Source organism: Homo sapiens, chromosome 6 (genome assembly GCF_000001405.40).
Source record: "Homo sapiens chromosome 6, GRCh38.p14 Primary Assembly".
Lineage (NCBI taxonomy): Eukaryota > Metazoa > Chordata > Mammalia > Primates > Hominidae > Homo > Homo sapiens.
This window is the reverse complement of record NC_000006.12, coordinates 159,728,388-159,746,629: the sequence shown is the minus strand read 5'-3', so window position 1 is coordinate 159,746,629 and position 18,242 is coordinate 159,728,388. Positions and strand designations below refer to the sequence as shown.

Sequence of the window (18,242 nt, the reverse complement as noted above, 5' to 3'; positions counted from 1 at the left end):
TACGTGGCTAATTTATGCCTTACGCTCAAAACTAACTAAATTGACTACTGATGTACTTGGCAAAGACTGCATGTAGACAAAGAAATAAAGCATTATTATTAAAAGATCAAATGGATGAGTTAGTATGCTGGACAAACAAAAGATCTACACAAATAGATTCCTAAGGATGTATATTTTATTTTTTCTAAGCTTAGCTTAATTTGAAACACCAAGGGTAAATGCAGCAGCTCTGTTTTAAAGGACAGGTACCTAATACAAACCTTTCCACTATTTTTCACTCAAGAGGGTAAGAAACCCTCCTTCTCAGGGCCAATCCTTTCAACCATTCGCTTAACCTATTCCCTCCAAACTCCTATAGTACATCACTCCCATTCTTTCTACTCTTTAAATTTAGTTTCTCTCACTTCCCACTTGACAGTTCCTCTAGAGCAGGGGTATCCAATCTTTTGGCTTCCTTGGCCAACAACCTCTTAACTGCCAAATCTAACGAACAATTTTAAATTCGTATTGTACAGAACTTTATGTATGCCTTTGTTTTAATCACTTTGTATTTTGGGGAAGGAGGAGGGAATGCTGGATTTCCTGTTTTCCTAACACCACACTCTACTCTTCTTTTAAAATTTGATCTTTGTAGGATCTATCCTAGTAGCATCGTTACTCAGTCAAACAAGACAAACCTGAAGCTGTGATTCCTCCCTAGATTTTTTTCATTCCTTCCACAACAGCATCCAAACTAAACAAGTCCTATTGATTGTGCCTCCAAAACACCTATTCTGTCCTGTCTGCTACCACCAGTGGCTTCATGTATTTCATCTGAACTATTTTAACAGCCTCACAATTGGTTTTCCTGCTTAAAGTCCTGTTCCTCTCAAATCTATCTTTCATACTCAAGTCAGAGTGATCTACCTAAAATGTAAATCTAAATCTGATCCATCACATACATCTCTTGCTGAAGAATTCTTCAGTAGTCCCCTCTCTTCTAGAATACCCAAGATTCCAGGCTGACCTCATCTTTTTTCACTCTCACCTGAAACTTTATCCTCATCTGCCATATATAATCTTGACCTTTCCTTGTGATTTTGCTCCTGCTGCCCTGCCCTGTCTGCAAAACCTCACTTGTATTATAATTGGAAGAACAGGAAGTTGTTCAGCTGGCGTATGCAGGTGACAGCTGTTTTAAAAAAAAAAAAAAGCTGGAAAAGGTTAGGTTCCATTATAGTTGAAATAACCTTAAAATCCAGGTCGAGGAGACAAGAGTGATGAGGTATCACCGAAGGCCTTGACCAGGCGTAATATGATCAAAACTGCCAGCGCATATAGGACAGATGGAGAATCAGATGTGCATGAATAGCACAAACATTGTGATGTGCACACATCAACTATGATGTCAAGAGTAGGAATCCGGAAGAGAAATGGAATTCAAGACATTCTGATCCTATGAGATATTACCATCAACACCTTCTATTCACACTCTATCTCCCAAGTGCTAGCAGTCTAAAGGTAAGATCCATTTCTCGTGTAAAGGGAAATTTGTTAAAACATTCATTAGTAACTATGGAGAAAGAAGTATCAGTGGTGGTAAGAATTACAACAAAACTGATAGAAACAAAAGGACAAAATGTGTTAAGAAGGTAGAGAAAATGATAATGGGCCAGGTGCGATGGCTCACACCTATAATCCCAACAGTTTTGGGAGGCCAAGGAGTAAGGATTGCCAAAGTACAGCAGTTCAAGACCAGCCTGGGCAACATAGGGAAGACCTCATCTCTACAAAAATTAAGAAATTAGCTGCGCTTGGTGGCGCACACCTGAAATCAGTTACTCGGGAAGCTGAAGTGAGGTGTGATTACACCACTGCACTCCAGCCTGGATGAGAGAGAGGCCCTGTCTCAAGAAAAGGGCGGGGGGGTTAGTGGGAAAAAAAAGTAAAGAAAATGATAAAAGCCAGCCTTTAGCAAAGTAAAATGTGAAGAAGTCATTTAGTAACAAGTGAAAGAAGAGTAAATACGTGCTTTTGTGGAAATTTAAACAATCTCTGTAAGGGAAGTAAAAGGACTGTGACTGAACCTTAAGGAACATTCTATTGGCAAAAGAAACAGAACAGGACTGTGCCCATAGATTTTTGGTGTCTCCAATGACCAGAATACTATCTTAGAAGACTTTAATAACACATAAGAAGACTTCTATATGTACCAAATGAAGGGAGAGTACACAAAGAATTGAAGAAACATTCAGATTTTAAAATCAGAAACAAGGATACAGCTGCCTCTAATTATTTTGTATAATTACACCGTAAGATTGAGCCTAAACTACCAGAGCTGGATGATCAATTATGTCACTAGATTTCAGATCTACGTAGACATAGTAAATACTACACAGTACACATCAAAGTTCTAACAATTAAAAAGGAGACACTAAAGAGGTTGCTGACACTAGGAAAAACAGTTCTATACACAGAGGGGACAAGAGAACAGAGATAAAGTCCTCAGATGGCTTTCCTAATCAGTGAAAGTAAAGCAATAAAGAGCAAATGTTCTTTTATTGATTACATCCTCAGACACCAAGATATCTGAAAAATGTCTGGAATTGATGAACTAATACTTATAAGGCATGAAAATTTCAAAAAAAACTTAAAACTTTGCCTTCTTGGCCACAAAAAACAGTCTAAATGAGACATTATCAAAATTTTTCATCTAGTATTCTTAAAGCTCAAAGCATACGTACCTATAAAAGATAAGCTCTTATATTTAGCATTAAATGTTTAAAATTAACATGTAATAATGTGGACTAAAAACCAATTCCTCAACTAAAGACATTTATATAACTTGAAATACTTACAGTACACTCTTGCATCTCTTGTTCCTTGGTTGCTAGTCGCATTACAAGGATGTTTTCCCTGCGTGCAGACTCCTGCTGTTGTTGCTTTAGTTTTTCTTCAGACTCTCTTAGGCCAGTTACATCATTAGCTGATGATTCAAAAAAAAATTATAAATACAATTTTAAGATCAAGTTCTAAATACCTCTGTCAAGAACAATAAGAACTAGGGTCAAAAAATTAATCAAGTCTTTAGTTTCCATCCTAACTACTTTTATAACAGGCGAATTTCTTCCTGGTCACGAGAGCTCCTTTAGGAGACAATGGTGTCATAGTGCTCCATGACTACTAACTAAATTATGTTTTTATAGTTTCATCTACTCCCAACAGAAGACAGAAAACATCTGTGTTATACAGTATTCACAAAATCCTGATTAGTATGTTTTAACCTATTTAATATAAAAATGCTGTCTGGGCACAGAGGCTCACGCCTGTAATCCCAGCACTTTGGGAGGCTGAGGCAGGTAGATCACCTGAGGTCAGGAGTTTCAGACCAGCCTAACCAACACGGTGAAACACCGTCTCTACTAAAAATACAAAATTAGCCAGTCGTGGTGATGCATGTCTGTAATCCCAGCTACTTGGGAGGCTGAGGCAGGTCAATGACTTGAACCTGGGAGGCAGAGGTTGCACTAAGCCCAGATTGTGCCACTGCACTCCAGCCTGGGCAACAGTGCGAGACCCTGTCTCAAACAAACAAATAAATAAATAAAATAGTAATAACTGCTGGACAATTTGTATTTTAAACTTGAGGCAGGATCTTATTCTGTTACCCAGGCAGGAGTCCAGTGGCACAATCAGGGCTCACTGCAGCAGCCTTGACCTCCCGGGCTCTAGTGATCCTCCTGACTCTTTTTTTTTTTGTAGAGACAAGGTCTCCCTATGTTGCCTATGCTGGTCTCAAACTCCTGGGCTCAAGTGATCTTCCCACCTTGGCCTCCCAAAGTGCTGGGATTATAGGTGTGAGCCACTGTGCCTAGCCTTAAACTTTCACAATGTTCATGACTTCTATGGGTAACACAGTCACGCAAAATTAGAATTTCAGGGTATTAACCCTTCTGAAGTTACAAAACAATATATATTGGTTTTTATACTCAACAAATAGTATGTGATTCAAACAGTAAAAAGTGAGACTAAAATGGCTTAAAATGATAAACGTTATTTTCAGCAGATTTAAAAAAATCTGTATATATTATTAAGTTATATATATTGATTTAAGCTGTCATAAATCTGTTACTGGTTGCTTCTGTTTATTTCTCTTCTAGACTAGTAACTCATGCTTCAAGTCAAATTCCTATGCAGAAGGGGTTAGGGACAAGTAAGAAAAGTTTCAAGTAGTTCTGAGTTACTGCATCTATATTCAGAACCTTGCATATAATTTTGCTAAGTCATGCCATTACATGACTATTACACCTCTGTCTTCTCCAATGACTGAGACTGTGTCTCATTCATCTTTATATTTTCTTGCACCCAACACAGTGCCTATGTACAGTTCTTATAATAAAACACGAGAAAAATTACATTTGCTTTAATAAAAACAACTATCCTTTTGATTTTAACAATCAAAAGGAGATTATTCAGTCTTTAGGAAGCTAAAACTCAAACTTACAGTTAAGATCTGTGTACTTGCCCTCCAAAGCTTGTACATATGCTTCATATTGTTTCCATCTAATAAAAAAAAATCCATACATTAGTTGTTACGATAAAATAGTTTATTAAATAAACTAGAAGATATCTATAAACTCACAGATTTTAGTAATACTGAGCATTCTTCTGGATTTTTCATTTTAAATCTAGTTTTTTTTAGACAGAGTCTCGCTCTGTCCCCCAGGCTGGAGTGCAGCGTGGCGCAAACAGGGTCTGGGCTCAAGCGATGTCCCTGCCTCAGCTTCCTGTATAGCTGGGACCAAAGGCACATGGCTCATTTTTTTGTAGAGATGGGGTCTCACTACGTTGCCCAGGCTGGTCTTGAACTCCCGAGCTCAAATGATCCTCACACCCTGGCCTCCCAAACTGCTGAAATTACAGGCCTGAGTCACCACACCCAGCCTAAATCTAGTTTAACTGATCATAAAATAGTCCCTCATTATTCCTTCCCATTTTACAGGAAACAGGTAAAAAGAGATATATAGAGAAGGTTTTTTCTGCTGAGAACATGCCAAGCATGCCCTGGGTGAGATCAAACCCCAGATTCACTTTGATATCACTGATGTTCAGGATAATCCTGGATTATAGAAGCTGAAAAAAAAATCCCACTGCTGCTTTCATATGTTGTCCACTTAGAACAAAAGGCATATTAGAAATGTGCCTCATTATGTAGAATTGAAGGTTCTTTATCTTGGCTCTTTTGGGAAAATACCATGTGACTCTTCTCAAGGTAGTATCAATTTCTGCCTGTAAACACAGGGGGAGAATATAACATTTTTCAAGACTGTAATTTAACAATCACATCTAACTGTCAGAAACCTGCATAAATGCCATATGCTATCAGAATACAAGGGGACCGTTGTTCTTCATTATACTTCTCTACCCTGAATATATACACTGCTAGGTCCTCTTAGCAATAAAGATTTTTCCTAGTCTTATTAGGCAGTTCCTAATGGAAAGCACCCTGCCCTGAATGTCTGCTATCCTGCATACTTAAGAGCCATGTTTTCAAGCTGCTCTTCAGGTACAATTAATTAAAATTTGGCTTTAGAAAACCATTTTATAATCTTAAAAACAGGCTTGTCATGAGTTATTAATATTACAACATAATGAACAAAAAGGCTCGTGCCTGTAATCCCAGCACTTTGGGAGGCCGAGGCGGGCAGATCATGAGGTCAAGAAATCAAGACCATCCTGGCCAACACAGTGAAATCCCGTCTCTACTGAAAATACAAAAAAATTAGCAGGGCATGGTGGCGCATGCCCGTAGTCCCAGCTACTTGGGAGGCTGAGGCAGGAGAACCGCTTGACCGGGAGGCGGCGGTTGCAGTGAGCCGAGATCGCGCAACTGCATTCCAGCCTGGTGACAGAGCGAGACTCTGTCTTAAAAAAAAAAAAAAGAAAGAAAAAAGAAAAAAAAAAAACCTTCCTAATACCAAACTAATCCACTTTCTATGTAAACACTGATGTTCAGCCAAGGCCATGCTTTATTTTTACGGCACTTACAACCTAAGACACGTAGTTTACCAAATATTTGGGGATGTATAGAGAAAGATCTTCAGTGGAGGCTATAAAAGAACGATTTATTTTAGAAGTACAGAAAAATATAAAAACTGAAGCAAGAACATGTATATCACAAGGATAGAAGGCACAGACTAGTTAAATAAGTAGCAGCTGGTTTAAAATCTCCAAGGGAATCAAAGAGAAAAAACTCGCCTAAAAGTCTTACATGAATTCCCTAAGGAAAGATGTTAAACTGACCTCAAGGAAATACACTGCATATGATTTAGAAACCTTAAAGGTATCTTAAAATAAAACATTTCTATGATTCTTTATTAAGATTACTGATTTTTCCCCTCCTACAGTTAAATCAAAAAAATGACTGCACAGACTAACCAGAGCAATTATGTAAGAAGGCATTAAAAAAAGTATACAATGCCAGAGACAGGGAAAAAAAAAATCATGGCCAGGCATGGTGGCCCATGCCTGTAATCCCAGCACTTTGGGAGGCCAAGGTGAGAGAATCACTTCAGGCCAGGCATTCAAGACCAGCCTGAGCAGCACCTCACCTCTATTATAATTTATATGCACATTAAAACAAACAAAAAAAAACCCAGCATTGAGTAGTAGTGTATCTTAAGTATATACTTCAGCATAAGACAGAAGTGTTTTAGAATAACAAAAATTTAAATTTTATGTGCAGAAAGACAAAGGTATGCAATGGAAACTGTCCTATGTATGAGATTATGGCAAAAAAAAAAAAAAAAAAAAAAAAAAAAAAAAAGGTAAAAAGTGTGTTCATAATACAGTAGCTGTCCAAAGGTGAAAGTAGGAAATTGTCACACTCTAGGAAACAACAAAATCTGTGTTAGCCTATCTCACAAAACATCTTTTCTCTCCTCCGCTTTCAGCCTGTTAAAATACTTATTTTATTTTTATCTAAGTTATCAAGAAACTTACTAACCATAGCAATAAAATACAGAAAGAATATATTTAAATTACAAAACACAGAACATCCTACTTCCTGATTTCTTACACAATCTAAAAAGATTATACGTTGTACTTGACAATCTGCTTTTGTAAGACATTTACAAGATAACCGCAGAAATTCAGAACTGGAAGTCACCTTTAACAATAACTTAACCCAACCTCTTCAACTTACAGATGAGAAAATGAAGAGTATGAAGTTATATGAGCTGGTGAAGGTCACACTAATAAGAAAAAGTAACCTCACTTCATTAGTAAATTATGTATTTCTTCCATAAATATAAGTGCATCTTTTAGGATTACATTTCTTTTTCAAATGTTAAACACGAAAGGAAAAACTACACAAAACAAGCCATATATTTGTTAAACTTATAGCTTCCTAGTAGTTCTTTAAAGTGTTACGTTTTCCTCGGTGTTAATATAAGAAATAGGTCATAGTATGCTCAAAAAGTACATTAAATTATTTGAGGATAGAACAACATTAAAAACAATATCTGGCACAAAGACAATTACAGTGTAGAGTCACAATATAATGTTCTATAGAAAGACTTTGTTTTTGAACAGAGAACATTTTACCTTAGAATTAACTCATCTCTTGCCATAACTTTGAAGTCTGTTTCACTCAATCGAACCTATAAAGAGAATTACAATATGAATTTAGTGTTCTTCCTGAAGACACAAAGTTCTATAATGAGACCTATGAAACATCTCCCAAGTGTGAGATTTAAACGGCTCAGTACATATTATGATTTTTTGAAAAAGTATTTTATTACAAAAGTTTTTTTTTTTTAAGGTAAACTATTTGGTATCTTAACAATGGGCATCATCATTAGGAAAATGCACATTAAAACCCCAGGTATCACCACACACTGATTAGAATGGCTAAAATAAAAATTAGTGGCAACACCAAACGCTGGTGAGGATTCAGAGAAACTGAAGTTTCCTACACTGCAGGTGAGAATATAAAAATGGTATCTGAAGAAGTATGGCAGTTCCTTTTATTAATACAACTAAAAATGAATGTGCCATATAACTCAGCAGTTGCACTCTTAAACATGTATCTCAAAGAAATGAAAACATGCAAGCAGCTTTACTTGTAAAAGCTAAAAAACTGAAAACTATCCAAATGTCCTTTAACAGGCAAATGATTGAACTATCATACAGCCACACCATGGAACACTTTAAGCAATAAAAAGAAACAGGACTACTGATACATGAAACAATTTGTATAAGCCTTAAGGAAACTGTGCTAAGTGGAAGGAAAAAAAATAGTCTCAAAAAGATGCATACTACATGATTACATTTATATAACACTCTGAAGTAACAATTATACAAATGGAGATAAATTAGTGGTTGCCAGGGGTCAGGCATGGAGAGGGACGGGGTAGATGTGGCTATAAAAGAATAACTCGATGAAGCTTTATGGTGATAGTTCAGATATGTATCTTGATTAATGATGGTTACACAAAGCTAGACATGATAATAGTGCATATAGCTCTTCCCCACTTCCCCCAATAACAGTGCTAGTATAACGTGAAATGTGAATAAGCTCTGTGGATTGTACCAATGTCAATTCCCTGATTTTCACAGTTATTAGAGATGTCTGCTAGTCACGCAAGGTGTTAACAATGAAGCAGGCTCAGTGAAAGTTGCACAGAACCTCTCTGTACATTTATTTGCAACTTCCTATGAATCTATAATTATTTCAAAACAAAAAGCTGAAAGAAGGGCATAAGCTAACATGCTTCAAAAATTGAGAAACAGTATATTCACTACACCAAATAAAGGCTGTAAAGGTGAGATACCTCTCCTACCTCAGTATAAAATTAAGGCTTTGGCTGGGCATTGTGGCTCATGCCTCCTGCACTTTGGGAGACTGAGGCGGGAGTATATCTTGAACTCGGGAGTTCAAGATCAGCCTGGGTAACATGGCAAAACCCCATCTCTACCAAAAAATACAAAAATTAGCCAGGCGTAGTGGCACACCTGTAGTCTGAGCTACTTTGGGGGGCAAAGGTGGGAGGATCGCATAAGCTGGGGTATGAGGCCACAATGAGCCAAGATTGTACCACTGCACTCCAGCATGGGCAACAGAGTGAGACTCTGTCTCAGAAAATAAAAAATAAAAATAAAATAAAGGCTTTATTAGTATTCCCTTACAAGACACTTAAATTTTTTTCCTTAAAAATGTTTCAAATTATAATACTAACCAGTAAAATAGTATTACCATAAAATGGAACGAGGGAACTATTATAATGTAACATATTGAAAGGCTGCCAGAGGCAGCTCATGCCTATTATCCCAGCACTTTGGAAGGCAGAGGCAGGTGGCTATCTCTTGAGCCCGGGAGTTCGAGACCAGCCTGGGCAACATGGTAAAACCCCATCTCTACAAGAAATACAAAAATTAGCTGGGCGTGGTGGCACGTACTTGTAGCCCCCAGATACTCAGGAGGCCGAGGTGGGATGATCGCTTGAGCCCAGGAGGCGGAGACTGCAGTAAGCCAAGATTGCACCACTGCACTCCAACCTGGGCAAGAGAGCAAGACCCTGTTCCAAGGGAGGAAAATCAAAGGGTACCAGAGGGAGCACACAGTAATTCTCAGATTATGAAAGCATAATACAATCCTTTATTCATTTAATGAGTAATCTGACTCCACAATAGGAAACTTCTGTAATATCTAAATTATTCACTTAAATATTAAGTTTAGTAAGCTTTCCCAATTGAATCACAAATTCCTCCTAGAGACGATGTTACCTCTTTTATAACAGCCACTGTGTGTGTGTATGTGTGTGTATGTAAGAGTAATTAAACTCAAGGTAGGAATGCACAACAGGGGGAGATTTGAGACTAGACAACAAAACTTCAGAGAAAAAGGTAGAATTTGAAAATTAGCTATAACCATTTTTTTAATAAAGTAGTTTTTAATTACAATCAAAGGGATTTACACTAGGAAAAGAATAATAATATACTCATAATGTCCATTTTTGACATTATTTGTATATATGTACCTGGAAATATTTACATAATGAACATTAAGAGTAGACCTGGAAATATTCACATAATGAACATTAAGAGTAGACCATGGGAATATTATTATAACTAAAGTTTTCCAAAATCTGAAAATATTCTAAAAAATATACTGGATATAAGATACAATATCTGGCACACTGTACAACTCCAATGCTATTATTGTTATAAAGGCAAAGAAATGAAAAATAAGCAAACAACGATAATCCCTTCAAGTCTATTTTTTTTTAAAGTGCTTAAAAAAGCCCCCAAAAAACCCAAAACAAAACAAAAAAACCCAAAACCAAAACCCATACCTTCTTGGGAAGAGGTTCTTCGTTGGTCATCTTGAATCCTAAAAAAAAAAGTTGCGGAAAACAAGTTCAATTTATTTTCTTCCAGTGAAAGTAGGAATAAAAAATACTGACTCTTTCAAATCAATTTATTAGTGAACTAAATTACTGTTGAATAATTAGAATTTAAATAAACAATTTTAAAATAGTTTTAGATTTACAAAAAAGTGGCAAAGATATTACAGAGTTCCTATATACTCTGTACCCAGATCTTCCTTTGTTAACATCTTCCATCATTAGAGTTATTGGGTAGTTTTTACAAATTCCCTCGTAAAAAAGCTGATCAGCCATTCAAATCATTTGATGTCGCCATAAAGGGTGAAGAGAAATATAATGACCTCAAGTAGTATCCTACGCATGTTGCTAAGGGACTATAAAAGGGTAATACCAGTTTAAGTCTTTCCTTTTATAGCATTATGTTGTTAAAGTAAGGTAGTACCTACCACAGCCATAATTTACTACTGCCCAATAGTTTTTTAGATATATTATATATTTTATTTTTATTTTTTTTGAGACACAGTCTCACTCTGTCGCCCAGGATGGAGTGCAGTGGCGCGATCTCAGGTCACTGCAACCTCCGCCTCCAGGGTTCAAGCAATTCTCCTGCCTCAGCCCCCTAAATAGCTGGGACTACAGGTGCGTGCCACCACACCTGGCTCATTTTTGTATTTTTAGTAGAGACGGGGTTTCACCGTGTTGGTCAGGCTGGTCTCGAACTCCTGACATTGCAACCCGTCCGCCTTGGCCTCCCAAAGTGCTGGGATTACAGGAATGAACCACCACGCCCATCCTATTACATATTTTAAAATATATGTTACACTGGTTGGGCGTGATGGCTCACGACTGTAATCTCAGCATTTTGGGAGGCTGGTGGGTGGATCACTTGAGGTCAGAAGTTCAAGACAAGTCTGGCCAACATGGTGAAACTCGGTCTCTACCAAAAAATTAAAAAAATTAGCCCGGCGTAGTGGCACACGCCTGTAATCCCAGCTACTAGGGAGACTGAGGCAGGAATCGCCTGAACCTGGGAGGCGGAGGTTGCAGTGAGCCGAGATGGCGCGCCACTGCATTCCAGCCTGGGCAACAGAGACTCCATCTCAAACAAACAAACAACAAAAACTCACATACACATGTATGTCACACCTTAATAAAAATATTCCTACAGTATTTAATTTTATGCCAAATATTTTGTATCTCAAAATTAGCTTCTTTATTATACAAAATTCACTTAACCCTGTTTCAAAGATAGGTTAATGAATTCAAGTAGGGAACACTTTATTATGCTGTTTTTTAGAACGAATGCTAATAGCAGGTATTATTCATTAAACTACAAATCCACACACAAAAAAAAGACAAAGAAAAAATGTGTAATAAACATAAACACCACATTAAAATACAAGGTTGGAAAAAAAAGTATACGACATGAAGAGCTAACCTGACAAACATAAAATCTTTATATAAAAATTCTATGAGGATTAAAAAATTGAATCAGGGTTCTGAGTACCAGTGCTCTTTTGAAAAAGCATCTAAATTGCATTTGGCATATTCATAACTTATACAAATTAAGTAATTAGTTCTTATACTAATTTAGTTTTTCCTATTCTTTCTTTCTTAAGAGATGGGGACCCACCATAGTGCCCAGGCTAGTCTTGAACTCTTGGGCTCAAGTCATACTCTCATCTCAGCCTCCCAAGTAGCTAGAACTACCTGTGGAAGGATCACGCCCAGCCCTAGTTATTATTTCTAATAGTATACTCATGAATCTTCCCTTACTTTAAAGTGTTTATGGTTTATTTTAATTACCCATACTTATTATAAATTCTAAACTACTAGAAATTTGACCAAAAGCTTGGTATGTTAAACTGAATTTTTTTTTTTTTTTTTGAGATGGAGTCTCACTCTGTTGCCAGGCTGGAGTGCTGTGGCATCATCTCGAAAGCTACTTGAGGCTGGTGTGGTGGCTCACACTTGTAATCCCAGCACTTTGGGAGGCTGAGGCAGGAGAGCTGCTTGAGCCTAGGAGTTTGAACCGAGCCCGGGCAATGTGGTAAGACCCTGTCTCTCATTAAAACAAACAAACAAAACACACACACACCAAGACTACTTGATTTCTCCCACTTGATTTTGAGATTCCTCAAAAGGAGATAATCTTCCAACAGCATGTTTTATACTACGTACAATCTCAACTCCACTTTATAAATGAAACATTCTAATCATACTGTTATTAAACCCTGGTTTTCAGATTAAGTAAATTGTGTTGAAGAAAGCAGAATTTAGAGGAAAAATCATAAATTGATCTTAGATTACTGGCTTGCTTCTTTCTCTGTTTAATCTTTTTTTTTGGAGATGGAGTTTCGCTCTTGTTGCCCGGGGTGGAGTGCAACGGCGCGATCTCGGCTCACCGCAACCTCCGCCTCCTGGGTTCAAGCAATTCTCCTGCCTCAGCCTCCCAAGTAGCTGGGATTACAGGCATGCGCCACCACGCCCGGCTAACTTCCTTGTATTTTTAGTAGAGACGGGGTTTCTCCATGTTGGTCAGGGTGGTCTGGAAATCCCGACCTCAGGTGATCTGCCCACCTCAGCCTCCCAAGTGCTGGGACTACAGGCATGAGCCAGCGTGCTGGGCTTTTTTTTTTTTTTGAGACAGTCTCGCTCTGTCACCTAGACCACAGTGCAGTGGTGCGATGATGGCTCACTGCAATCTTGACCTCCCAGGCTCAAGTGATCCTCCCACCTCAGCCTCCCGAGTACCTGGGACTACAGGCATGTGCCACCACACCCAGTTAATTTTTTGTAATTTTTTTTGGTAGAGACAGGGTTTCGCCATGCTGCCCAGGCTGGTCTCGAACTCCTGGGCGCAAGCAATCCAACTGCCTTGGCCTCCCAAAGTGCTGGCATTACAGGCGTGAGCCACTGCACCCTGCCTTCCCTCTTTAATCTTTCTCAAGGGATACAGCAAACAGATAAAAACCTCAGTATTTGTTTCTGAGCTAATTGTATACAGTCTGTTTCACTGAGCAAGTCACTCTGTCCTATGAAGACATAAACCATATTACTATGATATAAAATGTATATTATTCTTTTTTTCTTTAAATTGGTTCCTCCCTTGTTGCCCAGTTTATTATCTCTGCTGCCATTACAGAAAGCTGCTTTGTAACTACCTTAACCTGGTGGCAGTCATTTTAATCATCTCAGAAACCATCACCATATTTAACTCCACATGTCTAACTACTTCTATTTTAGCATGACACATGCATTAGGCTGCAAAGTCTTAGAACCCAGATATCAAATCTGGCATTTCCTTGTAATTTCCCATTTGTCTGGAGCTAAATATCAATTTTACACACACACACACACACACACACACACACACTATATATATATACAGAGAGAGAGAGAGAGAGAGAGAAAGAAGCAGACAGAGACACTCCCCCTCCCCCTGCGCCCGGTCTCTGTTGCCCAGGCTGGAGTGCAATGGCGCGATCTCGGCTCACTGCAACCTCCACCGCCTGGATTCAAGCGATTCTCCTGCCTCAGCCTCCAGAGTAGCTGAGATTACAGGTGCCTGCCACCACGCCCGGCTAATTTTTGTATTTTTAGTTTCACCATGTTGACCAGGCTGGTCTCGAACTCCTCACCTCAGGTAATCCACCTGCTTTGGCCTCCCAAAGTGTTGGGATTACAGGTGTAAGCTACTGCGCCCGGCCAATAATATTTTTAATTTAAAAAATCTTAAAGACAATTTTAGCTATTTGAGCTGTACATATTTAACCGGTATATCAGTATCTGTATCTATGTATATACGAACATAAAATTTTGAGAACCAACCAGGAACTTCACGTAACAGGTACTGTGGTAGAGATCTGTGAATGACAGTTTGAAAACAGCTATATTTATCACTATGGCTAGGTGGTATACCTTTTATCTAGTTACTAAGGCATCCTACCTACTCAGTATGTACAACTTTAGTTGTAATACTAAAGTATCATGGATGCTGTTCAATATAAATTCCAGCTTATAAAAGTTATTATAGTTGGTCCTTGACCAACCCAGGTTTTAGCTGCATGGGTCCATTTATATTTGGATTTTTTTCAATCAAACTCAGATTAAAAAATACAGTACTCGGATCAAAAATACAGCATTCACGGGATGCGAAACCTGAGTATGCAAAGGGCAGACTTTTCATACACCAGGGTTCAAATTCCTATGCCAGGATTTTGGCAAGGATCATCGGTATGTGGTTCTACAACCTGATACTTTCCCTAGGTTTACTTGCTTACTCTCTTCTTAAAGACAGGTATCCATATTCTTATTCCACTAAAATAAAATTAACAGTAAGCTTAGCAAAAAATGAGATGATAATCTGTTTTTAAAGGGCATTAAAAGGACTGAGAAACACATGAAGAAAGTTCTGATAACCTTGGTATTCTGAAACAGGTTGTCAACTTTGCAAATACAAAAGTAGCAAAATCTCTGCACCTCAGTTTCCCCATCTCAAAAAGAATTACCACAACCAGGGCCCAAATACTGTGCTATTTCTGAAGACAGACATTAATCTTTAGCATGGTAACTGGCACAAAATGGGCATTTAATTAATAGTTTCTTCTCCCCATCAAAAACACAGACTCAGTGTTTCTTGAAAAACCTGAAGAGATAATCCACAGGTTGAGGATAATAATCATACTGTCCTCCCGACTGTTTCTAACACTTACTGCAGAATTCTTTGGCATCTCCAATATTTAGGATTCTAAACAGAAGTTACTTAAATTTTCTTTTTTTCCTCTCTTTTTTTGAGACAGAGTCTCACTCTGTCGCCCAGGCTGGAGTGCAGTGACTCGATCACAGCTCACTGCAGCCTCCATCTCTTGGGCTCAACTGATCCTCTTGCCTCAGCCTCCTTTGTAGCTGGGATCACAGGCATGAACCACCACGCCCAGCTAATTTGTTTTTTTTTTCTTGGTAGTAGAGATGAGGTCTTGCTATGTTGCCCAGGCTGGTCTTGAACTCCTGGGCTCAGGAATCCTCCTGCTTGGGCCTCCAAAAGTGCTGGGACTACAGTTGTGAGCCACCATGCCCAGCCTGCAATTATTGAAATTTCTTTTCTTTTTTTCTTTTTTTTGAGACGTAGTCTCTCTCTGTTGCCCAGGCTGGAGTGCACGGGCATGATCTGGGCTCACTGCAACCTCCGCCTCCCGGGTTCAAGCGATTCTACTGCCTCAGCCTCCCAAGGAGCTGGAACTACAGGCACGCACCACCATGCCCAGCTAATTTTTGTATTTCTTTTTTTTTTCTAGTAGAGACAGCGTTTCACTATGTTGGCCAGGCTGGTCTCCAACTCCTGACATTGGCTTATGTTCTTTTTAAAAAGTTTGATGGTGAGTAGATTTTAATTAAATGGTGCTTTTTATTGAAATTTTCTTTAAAAATAAAACTCTGTATTTGTAATGTAAGTCAGGAGTAAATACAGATTTTGGATAAATGTCTACACTTCCTAAGTCAACTCTCAGAGTCACTTTTAAGATCACTCTAGCTGTCTGGGGTATCCAACTTGGGAAATTCAGAGCCTCAGTATTTAGAAAGAAAATCCTTCCTCAACTTTAATCTGATGAAAAGTAAATCTTTCCTTGAAAGTCGATGATATGCCACAAAGTTAAATGCGCCATCTGGCAAAAGGCAAATTAGAACAGGTTCAAAATTTACAACTGTCTACAACATTCAACTATTTGGTCAAAATAGAACCTAATTGGCAATTTTGACTTTCACACCACACGAATGTACCGAGAAGTTTGGTATTCCCCAGGGCAATTTTTTTTTTAGCGCAAATGACAAACACAATAACCTAAATTTAAAGTCAATTCTAGATTCATAAAGGCAATGAATATTCTAGGTTCTCAGAACAATCTATTCTCGTATCAGAAAAACAGAATGACCATAACATCATTTGGAGTCAATTAAAGTTGAATCCTGAAGGAAAATAATAAAGAAAATATGTTCAGTTCTTATGAATCACACATTTAATAACAGCACTTTTCAAAGTCAAAGTTAGTTCCCATTTTCCAGGATGAAAATGACTGTTAGTCATTAGGTGATCAGCTATTAGGTGATTAAAACAGCTATTAATTAATAAATTGGGGGTAAGGGTCTCAAATTTGGTGCCCCTCAAAAGGGTGGTAACATGATTGACTAGTTTTAAAATTACATAAAAGTTTCAGTTATTTATGTAGATAATTCAGAGATAATATATCTCAGAAAATCAGGACCACCATCTACTCTTGATGCCTTAACACAGAAAAACAGCTTAGTATGGAGTTCAGTCTAGACTGGTTAGGTGCCTAGCATCCCAGATCCCAGTACCTTCCTGGCTCTTAGCATCATAAAGTTAGGTAACTCAGTTCCCTCTGAACGGAGGCAAGCGCCAGCCAAAACAACTTCAGTAAGAAGACACGGTACCTTGGCGAACAAATCATAGCTGAATGTAAGACACCAATCTGCAGACACTGTAGTAGCAAGGTACTGATGAGGAACTGAAAGGCCATCTTTTCCTTATCCTCTATCTGCCATGTGTGATTCCAAGCAAGTCTTTTAACTCTTGCAGTTTCCAAGTCAGCAAAAAGATAATTTTGCCTGTCTCACAAAGTGCTGCAAATATTAATGCTTTCAGCACAATAAAAATGCTATAGATTTTTCAAATAAAATATGAACATAATATGAACATAAAAGGCAACTTCAATGTGCACTTAGAAAAGATTAAATTCTATTAACTACATCTTCAAAGGCAGAAAATATTTACAGCAATATATTTTAGTCAGATGGAACATCTTGTTATACACAATACACAATGAAGTTTACTATTGTGGAGATACTGAAAAGTTTTTCTGTGTTAAGCTTAGTAACTACAAGAAGCAAAATATTTAGAGGCAGAAAAGTTGGAGACAACTAAAAAAATTAAAAACAAGAATAAAACCAAAATACTATCTTCAGTCTTCTTTTGCTGAAGGACCTACTAACTAACGTACAATTTTGAGGAGCAAGAAGCAAATACATAATGATCAAAACTGCTAAACAATATATTCAAGGGGATTCAATACTACATACAAGACCATAAGAGACCTTGAACGCTTTAATGTACTGTACAAATTGTGACAATGCTCATCTCCACATCACAGGGCTTTTTACACATTGTGTTTCATCTCTACCAGCTTATTTCTGACAAACAATACACAAAAATATTTTCAGCAAACATGACTCAACGTTGAATTGGAAAAGCTAGACATAAAAGAGCCATGTAAAAATAAGCAGTGCCTGGGACACACTATTATTATTACTTTTATCCTTTAGGAGTTAGCAATTCTGGTAGCTTGTCCAAATTCTGCCAATGAAAAAGTACTAAAAATACTGAACTTTTAAACCATGTGTCTGCTTAAGATACCTTAACATATAAAAGCACTGTAAGAAACACACCTACCCAAACCCTTAAAATGTAACCTCAACCTTATCACAAGCCAGCTTTGCGGACTGCAATCTTTCCCCGACTTGGCTAATCAGATGCTACTTGAATGAATTAAAATGTATCCATCTTGAAAAGATTTTTCGCTCATAGTTTTAAATTACGGTTTTAAATGTCCACAACATGTTTATCTATCGTAGAAAACTTAATGGTCAAAATTTTAAAATCCAAAAAACGAGAACTTGCGATGGATCTATGACGTCCACTTATCTTCCGAAGCAATGGAATTAACTAAAACTAGATAAAATAGGCACAAATACAACTTCCAATTGTAACATACTCATAGAAGTATTTCCCTACCAGACTAAATAATAGTTTTTTTGTTTTGTTTTGTTTTTTTTACATAATCACAGTTATGCTAGTCC

At 37.8% G+C, this 18,242-nt stretch overlaps 2 protein-coding genes across 11 annotated transcripts in view, besides 1 other annotated feature; one reads left to right on the top strand and one right to left on the bottom strand.

Annotated features, from left to right (window-relative positions):
* The window catches only part of SOD2 (superoxide dismutase 2), a 93,213-nt gene that overhangs the window by 15,652 nt on the left and 59,319 nt on the right, over positions 1 to 18,242 (top strand). Inside the window, exon 3 of the mRNA NM_001322817.2 lies at positions 15,665 to 15,745. The gene's annotated coding sequence lies outside the window, so the exon portion shown is untranslated. The remainder of the gene's footprint in view (positions 1 to 15,664; positions 15,746 to 18,242) is intronic.
* Positions 1 to 18,242, bottom strand: part of WTAP (WT1 associated protein) — a 29,627-nt gene that overhangs the window by 9,690 nt on the left and 1,695 nt on the right. For 8 of the 10 annotated variants that reach the window (XM_017011514.3, XM_017011516.3, NM_004906.5 and 5 more), the window contains exons 2-5: positions 10,335 to 10,372; positions 7,585 to 7,640; positions 4,484 to 4,542; positions 2,838 to 2,965 (exon numbers count right to left, since the gene is read on the bottom strand). In XM_017011514.3, coding sequence (XP_016867003.1) covers positions 2,838 to 2,965; positions 4,484 to 4,542; positions 7,585 to 7,640; positions 10,335 to 10,372 — 281 coding nt within the window. Of the gene's footprint in view, positions 1 to 2,837; positions 2,966 to 4,483; positions 4,543 to 5,182; positions 6,772 to 7,584; positions 7,641 to 10,334; positions 10,373 to 14,198; positions 14,234 to 18,242 lie in introns of those variants that run through there. The other 2 variants (XM_047419578.1, XM_017011515.2) reach the window with 2 other exon arrangements.
* Positions 12,682 to 12,942: a silencer, noted in NCBI's record as "fragment chr6:160154720-160154980 (GRCh37/hg19 assembly coordinates)". NCBI's record gives its function as "represses an EF-1alpha promoter that drives an FKBP-Casp9 reporter gene in an ReSE screen in HepG2 liver carcinoma cells {active_cell/tissue: HepG2}" and the evidence as "EXISTENCE:reporter gene assay evidence [ECO:0000049][PMID:32094911]".